This window comes from Homo sapiens, chromosome 1 (assembly GCF_000001405.40).
Source record: "Homo sapiens chromosome 1, GRCh38.p14 Primary Assembly".
In the NCBI taxonomy this organism is placed as follows: domain Eukaryota; kingdom Metazoa; phylum Chordata; class Mammalia; order Primates; family Hominidae; genus Homo; species Homo sapiens.
Genome location: NC_000001.11, coordinates 191,732,443 through 191,746,153, shown reverse-complemented (window position 1 = coordinate 191,746,153; position 13,711 = coordinate 191,732,443). Strand labels below are relative to the sequence as shown.

The following is a 13,711-nucleotide window of genomic DNA, read 5'->3' as shown; positions in this document are numbered from 1 at the left end:
TGAATATATTTGTAAAGTTGGGTAAATAAAAAGAGATCACAGGCTTTTATATGAAGGAAACAAAACATTATATTTTTTCTAAATATAGTGATTTTATTGGCAGAAATTCATACAGAATTTAATGTTTGGATTGTGGTGTGTGGATGCAGGAAGATTATGCTCTATGCTTTTTTTCCCAAACTTAATTGACCATGAAACACTTTATTTGCCGACCATTTTATAATGATAATGGGAATCTCTCTTTGAGAAATCTTGGCAACGTATTAAATGGAAATAAAGTAATTCTTAAAATTTGTACGAGATAAATAAGTATCAATTTTCTTTCTGATTCAAATTCATTACCTATTCTGCTATTCTTGTTTTGAGAAAAATGTACAATATTTTAAAAGGGTAAATCTATTTGATGTGCATTTTGGGTGACCTCCATCCAAGTCCTCTGTCTAGAATTAGTACCCAATTCAAATACCAACTACAACCAGTTTTTTTCTCTCGAATGATATATGCTCAGTTCATTTTTATTAACTGGAGTTTTGAAACAAGCATCTAATTTATTACATAATGAATAGAGCTAGAAAAAAATAGCAGAGAAAAGAAAAGCCTCCGTTAATTTTCTCTTCTATCCCCTACAGCAGAAAGGCCATAAATGAACTATTTTAACCTGCATTCAAGACTAGAGCACTAACTCTGCCTGGTCCCCGTTCGACCTTGCATGGCCTATTAAAGTCAAGGATATCTTTCAGAAATGATGTTACACTAAACAGGTCTACTATGTGATCTCATGGTGAAAAAGTATGTACTCTTACGCCCCAAGACCCAGTCTTAAGCAAAATCCTTCATCATGTCCTCTTTCCCAGGGACCCTATTTCAACGTTACTACTCAGGAATAATGCAAGAAAAAAAGAGGTTTCATGACAGAACTAAGTGACAGTCCTTTCCAAGCAATTTTTGTCCTTAAGGATGTCAATTTGTCTCTGACTTTTTATTAGTAATTTTGCTTCTGGTGGTAAATTGAAAGGTTGGAGCATGAAGTCTGCTGTAATTTTAGAGTTCAAGAAATCAGAATGTGCTCAAAATTATGGCTGTCTACACTGGGGCAAATTATAAATGGATATTTGTACATTAAGGATCTAGATTTTAATTGTATTAAATGAGTTTACTGATTTCTTTAAATTCATAAAACAGATGATTTTTTCTATTAAATGACCTTGGAAATAATTGTATTTTAAAATTTGACATTTTGGAATCATTATGAAAATTTTGAGTTGATTTAAATATGCTATATATCCTTCATGTTTAAACATGCAGATAATGGCCCAAAAATATTCCCTTTCTGTACTGCTGATGTTGTCATAATTTATGTCAATATGTCAGTTCTTTGTGTCTTATTCTGTGCTCTTAAGCCATATGCAGAAACATCTGATATTGTTTTGTATATATAATATATGCAGTTTTATTTTGAAAAGGTTTTATTTATTTATTCAACTAATACATATTTCTTTGTATATTTACTTCAGGTCAAGCACTGAGATAATGAAGTATGCCTTTATTATTCTTGCCTACAATTTTGTTTACCATTCATTCACTGGTGACCCCCACCCAACTCCAACACACACACACAAAAAGAGATAAAAAGAGCATGCTTTTCCTTAGGCTATAAGTTTTCCTCAATAGCAGTCCATATGTTTGGGTAAAGATGCACATGTGCAACTCACAATTGTCCTAAATCTCTTAATACCCTCTAAACAACTCAATATTTCTTTTAAACATTCATTCTACCTTCTCGGTTTATAACTGCTATGATTTGAATTTTTTTCCTCCCATACTCACATTAAAATTTAGTTGCCATTGTAACAATATTAAAAGGTGGGACCTTTAATAGGACTCTACTCTCATGAGTGGAATTGGTGACATTTGAAAAGAGTAAGTTTGGCTCTCTCTTGCTCTCTTGACTTTTTGCCTTCCACCATGTGAAGACAAGGCAAGAAGGTCTTCAAAAGATACTGGCCCTTTGATGTTGAACTTCTTAGCCTCCAAAACTGTGAACCAATAGATTTCTGTTAATTATAAGTTACCCTGTCTCAGATGTTCATTTTAATAGCACAGACTAAGATAATAACCAAACAGCTATTTTTATAATCACCCCTATATGCTCATAGGAAGACATGCAATTTAATTGCCATCAGTCAAATGTACCTGCTTGAGATTGATATTTAGAAACTGGCCAAGTGAGGAGATAGCAGTGTGCATGACACCCATTGTATTGAGTGGAGGTAGCAGCAGAGAAGATGCAGTTCTGGGATGGATGGGAGGTGGCAGCTCCTGACTGAAGCAGAGGGAACTTAGTTTCAGTATTGCCAGCAGTGTCAGCACTCTTGCTAGAATGCTGTTGTAGTAAAATTCTTGAATCATTCTGGGAAGCTCACCCTAGAGCTTTATCAAAATTTTATAATCTTCTCACTAATGTCAAATAAACTCCTAACTGCTTAATGTAGCAGGAATAGATTATTTGAACCACAATTAAGAAGTCTAATAGAGCTCAAGTGACTCAACTAGATGTTCCAAGAGAGATCATTGGAACTGTGCTAAAAACCATTCAGTGTCTCTCATGGCCTTGGCCACACTGAGTGCTCATTATAAGCTTTTGTCCACATTAAAGACAAACTATAAGAATTTTGTTTAAATAACTGAGATGGGAGATTTTTATTGCCTCTAGGTGAGCCCAAGCAAGTCAGAGTTAAACCCGGGGAAATGTAAACCTCAGGACCATGCTTGCTTCAGAATAAAATGGGGTGGGGGGGGATAGATAAAAATAATAATTTAAGAAAATCATTCTGCACACTTGATCCCAGTGTGCAACTCAAATCATACATACCCCTGGAACTTTCACTTATGAAAATCAATACACTACCCTTTTTGTTTAAATAATTTTGCTCTGGTACTCTGCCATTTTCCATAACATTTCTTAAAATTACATACATGACCCAATGCTATATAGGTGAATATAAAGAGTTCTTGCTTTTGAGCTATAGGGAGGGCAGATTTTAAAGAAAGGAACAATGTAATGTCTGCTAGAGTAAAGGTATTTCCCTAAAGGTCCATGGGGGGATAATAAGCTTTTGCAGGGAACCTATAGCCCCTGGAAAGATTATTGAGAAGAATAATTAATTGCTCTGAAATGAACTGTCAAAAATTAGTACAATAACTATGTTGACAAGATGAGAAAAAATGATCTGGAAAGACTCAAAGCAGATTACAAAATTTGTAGAGATAGATATTATGTAACAAAAAATAATAGTTGAATCATGTAACCCAAATCCTCCTAAGAGGCTCCTACTCCCTCTACTTAACTGCTTTAGAGTAATAATGCATGTTACAATGCCTATTTATAATTTCCCTGAAGTTCAGTCGGCACTCTCATTGATTATTCACAGTTTATAATTAGACACAAAAGCTCAGAATCATAATGCACAGAAGTAAATGCTTGGTCATCTTATGAACAAGCAAATCAAACAAATCTCGTACATTTTCCCTTGAAATCTCAACAATTATAGTTTCTTTATTAAGGTAAAACAAAGTGTCAAATAAACTTTCAAGACCCACATTTCTTCTTAAAAGCTGCAATCATATAATTAATCACCTGAATCATCACAAAAGATTGTACCACAGTGTTACAACTAGCTTAAACATCTTAACTTGCAGATGGAGTTTTTCCTTTATCAAAAGGAAGTGCCCTCTTGAAAAATGTTGATTGGAAGAGAAAATCCATTAAAAAGTATGTGGCTTCCCAACGTGTCTTGGTAATAAGTAATATTCAAGGCATTCTTTTAAGAAAGAATCCTCTCAGAATGAATAGAGAATTATTTTTTTTTACAGTGGTAATGATAGTTGATATTAGAATACATTCCTCCTAGCATTAAAAGATAATGAAAGAGGACAGCAGTAGGCAGACTGATACGTATCTATGCCATTAAAAAAGGATGTGTATTTTTTTATGAAAGAACAAAGTATGTAGTAGGAAACTATTCAGTTCTATTTTTATAATATGAGATGAAATTTAATATAAGAATTTAGGTGAAAATACTGAAATATGAATAAGCTATAGTCTTGATAAAATTGAAGACACAGAATAAAAGGCAGAAAGCTAAAGGGAGAATAAATAGATGAATAAAATAACTTATTTCCTAAGAACTTTACTCAAGACAGAAATCAACAGAAATATTGAAATGTCGAACATGGATAAATAGGACACTAGCATTAGGGATGATGGGATGATTCAGATAGGTAACATTTAGCAATATTTTTCATTAGGATATGAATTTTAGTGAGGAAATGTGAGTTCAGAGAGGAGCAGATTCCTTTTCAAAAAGCTACCAATCAACCAATAACAGCAAAAGAAGAAAAAAAATTAAAAACTTGGATTTATAAGCCCTCTTTCTTCCAAGAGACTCAAAATGCTTTAAATATTGCTGCCCTTCTCTTTTCAGACAATAGATAATAAACTGCTTACTTTTACAGGTAAATTCATTCTTCCCAGGTATTTTGGATTACTCATTAGTGTCTCATATTATGAGCACTAACATCTGAGATCCCTCACAGATCTTCCTACCGATGAATAATATACATAATATTCAATGAAGTAAATTAAGTTGCACCAATAAACACCAAATTAGAGAGTATATCTATATAATAAAATATATAATTCTCAGCACTCACTACATTCTAAACAGTTTATATATTGACTCATTGAATCTTCATTATAATATTATGAGATAGCTTCTATTGTCACTATTAGTTTACAGATGAGGAAAATCATGCACAGATAGGTTAAGCAAGTTTTTTGAGTCGTAGTACATGGCAAAACAGGATCTGAACCAAATTTCTAGATCTCTTGTCCTTAAACATGATGCCACACCCACTCTCATACATTCTAGATTTGGTCCAATATAGCATTCAAAAATAAAGACAGAATAGTATAGGTACTTCTTGGTCACAGTTCCTTTCAAATGAAAACGAAAAAAATTTTCAGAACACTCCTAACAGAGTCTTACAAAAGAAGATGGCTTGTTTAATCCTAACCCAATCACCAGCAAATGTTAAGGGAACTATTACAAATGACTTACCCCAACCCTAATTTAGCCATGGACCATTTACTGGGGTTTGACACAATGTCACAGTATCGAAAAAACCCTCTGCACTTTCTCAGATTCCCTCATCCACCTTCTTTCTTTCTCTTGGTCAGTGCCCTATTCCCTTCCTGTCACACTTCCACTTTCAGATTATGAGGAAATATGAGGTCTGGCTTCCAGAGCAGCTGCTGGGAAGCCTCTAGACAAACCCAGAGACATGGAGGATTTAGCGCTCCATGAGGTAAACTTTAGCCAGTAAAAGATAAGAAAAGGAAGTTAGGAGAGAATCAAAAAGACAAATCCTCCTTCTTCTGCCTACAGTGAACTGCTCTGAGGTTATTTCTTCTTGTCAATTTACTGAAGAAATCCTCAAATGCATTTTACACCTGTTGTATCCCTCCATAGCTTCTTGTGAAGCGGTAATCACTGCTGGCAAAATGTTGAATAGCTTTTGAACTTTTGATCTTTCCTTGCCTCACTTCCTTTTTGTCCTCATACTTACTTCCCTGACTAGCATGTCTCCAGTAATTATAATTTAACTTTGTCTCAGGCTCTGCTTTTAGAGGACTGGGGCTGATATGGCATCCAACTGTATTGAAAGAATTGAGATTCGCTTATCAAGAAAGGAACGGGATGTTTGATCAGTGGGTAAACAAATGTCCATTACATTGCACAAAGTTTAGTGGTGGACCCTAGATCAAAACTTTGGTTTACCAAACTCCAAAATCTTATTCATAAATTCTAAGCTAAATTGTATTAACAGAAGTACACACGTAGCCATTGAACTTTTTGCTACACAGATTCCAGGTAAAACAGTAAGACCAGGTATGACTTTTCCTCTGGCTCCTGTCTATGACGAGGGAAAAAAAAAAGATTCTACAACACCTTTTCTCTTTGAGTTCATACCTGCCAATCCTGGTAATTATTCTCATCTGAGAGTTTGATGGACATTTGTCTTTCTCTCCTTAGTAGCTGTAGTTAATGTTCTGTGCTGTACAACAATCTCCTGAGATGAAAATCATCTCGGTTTTAGTGATTTATTGCTTCAGTTCACCAGGTGTTCCCTCATTAAGAGTGGGGGACTGAGTTATATAAAAAGCATGCACCTTAATTTATAGTCTGAAACAATATTATCAATCAGCCTGCTCATATGCAATACAGAAATATTAATAGTGACAGAATTTTACCTCTAACTTTTGATTTTGGATTTGTCAATGTATGTTATTACTTATTTCTACCAACTGCCACTTAATATTCTCAGACCTCGATGACATCATAAATTTTATTAATTATTACCATTCCTGTGACTGACAAATCATTCATCATGGGAGTCAAGTGAGGACAGGCAGGATTTTCAGTATCAGAGGTAAGTGAAATTAGTGTAACTCAGATTGTCATTTTATTGAAAACAGTGGCTTTCTGTTCCTAAAAATAAAGAAAATATATGCGTCAATTTGTAGGGTGTGAGACCCAGTTCTGTGTGGAACAGAAGAGGTGAATGGGGATACATAAAGGTCAGTGGGCAGTGACAGACTGGCCAGACAGTGACTGATTGACATTTGTAACTGGAGTGGGTTTCAGGGCTGACCAGTATTACCTAAAAGCAGGGACTACCAGAGACCTTTCCTTCCCTTACAACCAGAACTTCACTGAGTGTCATGGAACCTACACACTTTTACAAGGCTGAGAGACCACTGAGAAGAGAATTTCCACTTGGAGAAGTTCACTTAATCTCAGCTAAGTCTCCAGGCATGAGTAGATTTCACCTCTGCAGGACAATTCCTCTGATGATACTTAGGAACAACATAGAAATGTCTCATCAAACAGTAGTGAACATAGTTAATGTTAGCACAGGTAATGTGTGATGGTCATTGGAATGGTGATAGTGACTGCCATCATCAGCTTGTCTCCCACGTAGGTGCCTTGACCTGGTGGTACATAGTACCTGGTTCTGGGCCCTGCCTTTATACTGACTTTGATACACGAATGCTGCATATAGTTGGACAGATTTTGCTGTGCACAGTTTTTCACATCAATTTCCTCAAATTTTCTCTATTATGATCTCCTGTCCCAGTTTCCTTGTCTTAGCCCCTTCCTACTTTTTATATATTCACACCCCATTCAGTTTCCCCCTCTCCTCCTGATCACATAAACTTTGTCCAGAGAGGGTGGGTCTGCGTCAGTTTTCCTCTCATTTCTTTGTAATATTTTGTTAAACATTTAAATTCTGCCCTTTTATAAAGAATCTTATGCTCTAAAGCATATCTTATTTTTACCAAACAAAACAAAAATGGACTCACAATTTTTTATTTTTATAGAGGATTCAAGAGTCTGTTTTGGAAGTCAAAAGTAAAATATTACCTTTCTTTTACATTAAATTCCTGCTCTCACAAGTCTAATTCTCTGCATAAGTGAATGTGAAAAAAACAAAGATTAATATCTCAAAATTCTTTCTTTGAACTGTGTAAGTGTGGAGACTTCCCAGTGTACTTTTGCGCGGAGAGAAAATGTGCAAGTGGTGGTCCCATGAGAGCTTTCATGACTAAAACATTAAGCCAAATTTCTGTATGCATTTCATTTCTCCTAACCTACTCCCCACCTTTATCCCTTGCATAATGTACTATTAATATTCCTCTACTTCTCCCAGTAATATACCTTCACTGTAGACTAGCCATCCTCTTCAAAACCTCTGAAGCTGCTCTAAATGACCACTATTGCTGTCCTCATTTAATGTTCTTTCTCTTGCCTGAACCTATACTTCTACTCAATTTGTTACACTCTTGCTTGTTTTGTATAAATGAATAGGAGGAGAAGAGAACTCTTGCCAACCTTCCCTCTAGTATATACATCAAGTTTCTGGAATGAAGCCTGTCCAATTAAAGCTCTTGGTAAGTATTTGTTAAATGAATAACTTGATCTTGCAGGGTAAAGATTTTTTCCTGTTTCCTTTCCTAGGCATTCATATGACCTGCCTGATTTCTACCAAAGGTAAATATTTGAGCTACTCCTAGTGGTATTTAGTCATATATAACATAGTATAGTTGTATATATAATTGCATATGCAAATATAAACATGTATGTATATATGTGTATATAATAAGACTGTCAAGCATTACCTCGTAAGATAGCATGATACAGGTGAAATACTATGGATTTTGGAATCACATACCAGGGTCATATTCCAAGTTCATACTTTACTAGATCTCAGTACTTGGGGAAAATATCTTTACTGATTTTTCATTTTATATATTATAAATATGATATAATACCCTCTTAAGATTTCACTTTAATAGAACAAACGTTATGACACAGTTAATATCATGCCTGACATATTAATGACAATTAGTTCTTTTCACTCTACATAATATACATACTCACTGCCACATGCATATTCACACATTGGATAATAAGGTCTTTGGAGAAAGAGATCACCACATTCTTTGCTCTCTCATAGTGTGATAGTGCCATACACAATAGTTGGAATATTTTTCAAATTCAACAGTGTGAATGTTTAATCAGGTGGAAGTCAAGATTAAAATATTTGAGATTAAATTTACAACTAATACTTGAGGATTCTTTTATAGCATGCATTATAAAATGATTCTTTATTAAATATATAGATTTTATAGTCAAAGTATTATGCTAATAGAAAAAACTAAATGAGTATCATGTGACTCTAGGGATGGTAATGAGGTTGTATCTTGTTTAATGTTGAGTACTAGCTGAAGCACACATATTTTATCTACATTTTTAATTTAAATATGTTAAAGCTAAATCACCAGTTTAGAAATTTGGGATAAGATTTTGCTATTGCTGTGGTTATTATTGTTGACATCTACAATACCTGATTACCCATGAAGCCAACTAGATAAGTATTGTTTCTCTTTCTCAAGGCTCAGAAATTCATTATGTGGCGAGTACTGAGTGTCTTTTAGGGTGATGAATTGAACGGAATTTTATAACATTGTTATAAATATTATTTTTATAAATATTACTTTTCTGAATCCCATCAAGCCTTTAGATCTGTGAGTCATAGCAGTTTTTGAAAAATATTATAGATAGAAGAATCTGTTTGGCAAACACTATGAAGATATAGTCAGTCAAATCTAGAATGTGGAAAATCCTATAGGGAAGTTCCTGCAAAATATAAATGTCTTTAAAAGAGAATGCTATTAGAAATCTATGCATTCCCCATCAAAATTCTAACAGCAATTTTACAGAAATAGAAAGGGCAATTCTAAAATTCATGTGGAAATATGCAAGATCCCAAATAGCCAAAGCAATCTTAAGCAAGAACAGGTCTGGAGGCACCACATTCCCTGATTTCAAATTATGTTACAACATTGTAGTATTCAAAACAGTATGGTAGTAGTATAAAAGCAAATATATCAACCAACAGAACAGAATAGAGAGCCCGGAAATACAGTCAACACATTCTTGACAATGCACCAAGAATACACGACTGGAAAAGAATAGTCTTTTCAAAAATGGTGTTAGGAAAACTGAATAGCCCCAAGCAAAAGAATTAAATTGGACCCTTATTATATGTCATACACAAAAATCGGCTCAAAAGAATTAAAGAATTATTTTAAAACTTGAAACAATAAAACTTCCAAAAGGCAATGTAGGAAGTAAGCTCCTTGACAATGGCATTGGCAATGATTTTTTTTGGATATGAAACCAAAAGCATAGGCAACAAAAGCAGGAATAAACACATGGGACTACATTAAACTAAAAACAAACAAACTAACAAACAAAAAATTCTCCATAGCAAAGAAAACAATCAACAAAATAAAAAGGCAACTTATGGAATAGGAGAACATATTTGCAAACCATATATCTGATAAGGGGTTAATATCTAAAATGTATAAGAAACTCCTACAACTCAATAGTTAAGTATGCAAATCAAATAAACCAATTAAAATTTGGGCGAAGAACCTAATAGACATTTCTCCAAAAAAAGACATATAAGTTTCAATAGGTATATTAAACGTTGCTCAAAATTTTAATCATTTGAGATACTCAAATTAAAACCAGAATTAGATATTACCTCACACTTGATTGGGTGGCTATTCCTACAAAAACAAAAGATAACAAGTATTAGGGAGGGTGTGGGCAAAAGGAAACGCTTGAACACTGTTGGTAGGAATGTAAAATGGTGTAGAAGCTATGGAAAACAGTATGGAAGGTCATCAAAAAACTAAAAGTAGAATGACCACATGATCCAGTAACCCCACTGCCAGGTATATACCCAAAGGAATCAAAATCAGAATCAAAGATATATCTGCACTACTATGTTCATTGCAGCATTATTCCCAACAGCCAAGTCATAGAAACAATCGAAGTGTCCACCAAAGAATTAATGAATAAATAGTTGCAGTATATGCCTAGAGTGGAATATTATTCAGCCTTTAAAAATAGAAGGAAATCCAGCCATTTGTGACAACATGGGTGTACCCAGAGGGCAGTATGTTATGTGAAATAAGCCAGACACAGAAAGACAAATAAATATCTCATTTATATGTAGAATCTAAAATAGTCCAATTCATAGATGTAGAGAGTAGAATGGTGGTTGCTAGATGAGGCAGGAAGAAATTGGGGAGTGATGGCTAAAGTGTAAACAGTTTCAGCTATGCCAGATTAGTTCTGGACAACTAGTATACTGCAAACTGCATATTGCCAGCAATAGTGTATTGTATACTTAATAATTGCTGAGAGTGTAGATCTTATGTTAAGTGTTCCTAATACACACACATTCATGCACACATACAAAATAATGAAATAATAATAATAGTAATAAGTAGGGTTGGACGAAACACTGGGAGATGATGGATATATTTGTGGCCTTGATAGTTCTGATGGATTCACAGAGGTATACCTATCCCCAAATTTGTGGACATATATAAATTAAATACATACAGCTTTTTCTCACTGAAGGAATTTCAAACGATAAAAAATAAAAATAACAACAAAGGTTTTTAGGTACTGCAGTGCAGTGATTTTAGATATTTTTTATATTATTAAAGCAAGGGTCTGAACCCCTGCACCCCACCAAATGTGAACACTGTTAGAGATTAAAAGTGACTTTGAAAAAAATCAACAAATGCCATAAATCGACTTTATTTTATTAAAGAACTGAAAATAGTATTTTAATACATAATTAGAGAAATATCAGATTATATTAAAAATTGTTTATTTTTGCAAGGTGTGAAAATGGTACTGTGGTTTCTATTTTGAAAAAATATATATATCTACTAGAAACACACACTAAAATGTTGTAGGTGGAATTGTACAATATATAGGGTATGCTATTAAATACTCCAGAAAAAATGATGTACATATATAAAAAGGTAGATAGATAAATAAGTTGATCAATAGATAGGTAGATAGATAGGAATGAGTTGAATTAAGATCATTCTGTGGCTAGGTACTTCCAAATGTTATATAAAGATTCTTTGTTCCTAATAGTAAGTGATCCCAAGATGGCATTCTTGTAGAAAGGAAGGCTCTTTGTACTCCTTGTGACTGATAGTATTTATAACTGCTGTTTCTAACTTAGGGCTATATGTAAAAGCCATTTAGCACAGAGAATTTTCTCAGGAAGATAAATAGAATAAAACTTACAGCTCTGAATACTAAAACAGTGCAACTCAGTCAGTACAATGGATATAAAATGCTTACAAAATTGGTGCTGTGAGAACACTACCCTTAAAAAGCTTCTATTTATACTTTACCTTTTAAAGTAGTTTCAATCTAGGATATAATAAAATATATAGAACCTCCTGCTATAACATATTTGAAAATAGCTGTGATGTCTATTCCTTTAGTTGAATATTTGTTATTATTTTTATAATTAAAATTATTTTACTATAAAATAAACATCCATATGATAGATATTCCATCAGTACAAAATTCATTTAGCCTGTTTATTAAGTCTCTAATTGTATATTTTAATAGATTTACAGAAATATTTAAAATTCAGAAATTGTGTAGTCTAGTTAAAGCATTTGGATGGCTTTCAGTATAGCCTTACCCGATAAGTTCAGCTTTAACATGGGCTTTCCTCATTACTCAATGAATAGCATCTCTAGAGAATATCATTCTCTAGAACTTTGAGACTAAATTATCTCTCAAAAGTGGTCTCTTAAATCCATGACAACCTAAATAAAAGGCTAATGTACCTTTGTCATGGTTCTTGACTCCCCAACCTTAATTTCTTAAAACTTAATGAAATTTCTGCTTTGGCCCATGAAGCATTAACTGTTATAGAAATTGAACTCCTACTGTAAACTAGAAAAGCAGAGAAAATATTTCAAAACAACACTCTTTCAGACATTGTACAATAGGCTCCATAAGGGCTGTGATCTCTGAGGAAAGAAAAATCAGCTAGGGTAAGTCCCTAATAGCTCTAGTGCTCTGGCTGGAAGTAGGTTCCAAGACATAGTGGAAGGAGGAAGAACTTAAAGGGAAGTCTCAAAGTCCTGCTGAGTTATGGAGTCAGAGATTGCAAGTCTAGTTTGAGTAGAAGGAAGCAGTAAAGAGAATTTTACAGATCTGTAGAGGTACCCTTCACATTTCTGGCTAAGCATGCACCTGAACATCCATGGTGGGAACCTCCACAGGGCTAGGAAAAGAATCATCAAAAACCAGCAGACCAAACAATTACCAAAGCTCACACGTGGCTTAGAGATACTATGTACTCATCAGCCAGGAAGAAGAGATACCTTAATACATGGGACATCAGGTACAATACTCAGAAAGATATTTTTGTTTACTGGGAGAGTTTTTGTGGAATTGGTGTTAGGCTTTAAGTGTGACAAAATTAATCAGTGAAGCCATCTGCAATCTGTACAAGGAATTTTTTTAGGGAAAGTTTTTGTTGTTTATTATAATTGCAATTCCCTTAATAGAGATAGTGTTACTCAGGGAATATATTTATTCAGGAGAGAGCTTTGATGATTTTTATTTTTTAAGGAATTGATTCATTTCATCTGAGTTGAATTTATGGGGATAAATTTGTTCATAATATTCCCTTTTATTCACTTAATATCAGTATATTCTGTAGTAATTAGCAATGTTACTGTGTCCGTAATTGGTGGGTTCTTGGTTTCACTGACCTCAAGAATGAAGCCGCGGACCCTCGCAGTGAGTGTTACAGTTCTTAAAGGCGGCGTGTCCAGAGTTTGTTCCTTCTGATGTTTGGATGTGTTCGGAGTTTCTTCCTTCTGGTGGGTTCGTGGTCTCGCTGGCTCAGGAGTGAAGCTGGGGACCTTCGCGGGGAGTGTTACAGCTCTTAACGCGGCGCATCTGGAGTTGTTGCTCCTCCCGGTGGGTTCGTGGTCTCGCTGGCGTCAGGAGTGAAGTTGCAGACCTTCGCGGTGAGTGTTACAGCTCATAAAGGCAGTGTGGACCCAAAGAGTGAGCAGCAGCAAGATTTATTGCAAAGAGAGAAAGAACAAAGCTTCCACAGTGTGTAAGGGGATCCCAGCGGGTTGCCACTGCTGGGGCAGCCTGCTTTTATTCTCTTATCTGGCTCCACCCACATCCTGCTGATTAGTAGAGCCGAGTGGTCTGTTTTGACAGGG

General features: G+C 34.6%; 1 long non-coding RNA gene across 1 annotated transcript in view; it reads right to left on the bottom strand.

The window, feature by feature from the left end:
- Positions 1-13,468, bottom strand: part of LINC02770 (long intergenic non-protein coding RNA 2770) — a 278,575-nt gene extending 265,107 nt beyond the window's left edge. The window contains exon 1 of the long non-coding RNA NR_186758.1: positions 13,244-13,468. This is a non-coding gene — a long non-coding RNA (long intergenic non-protein coding RNA 2770). The remainder of the gene's footprint in view (positions 1-13,243) is intronic.
- Positions 13,469-13,711: the final 243 nt, after the last annotated feature.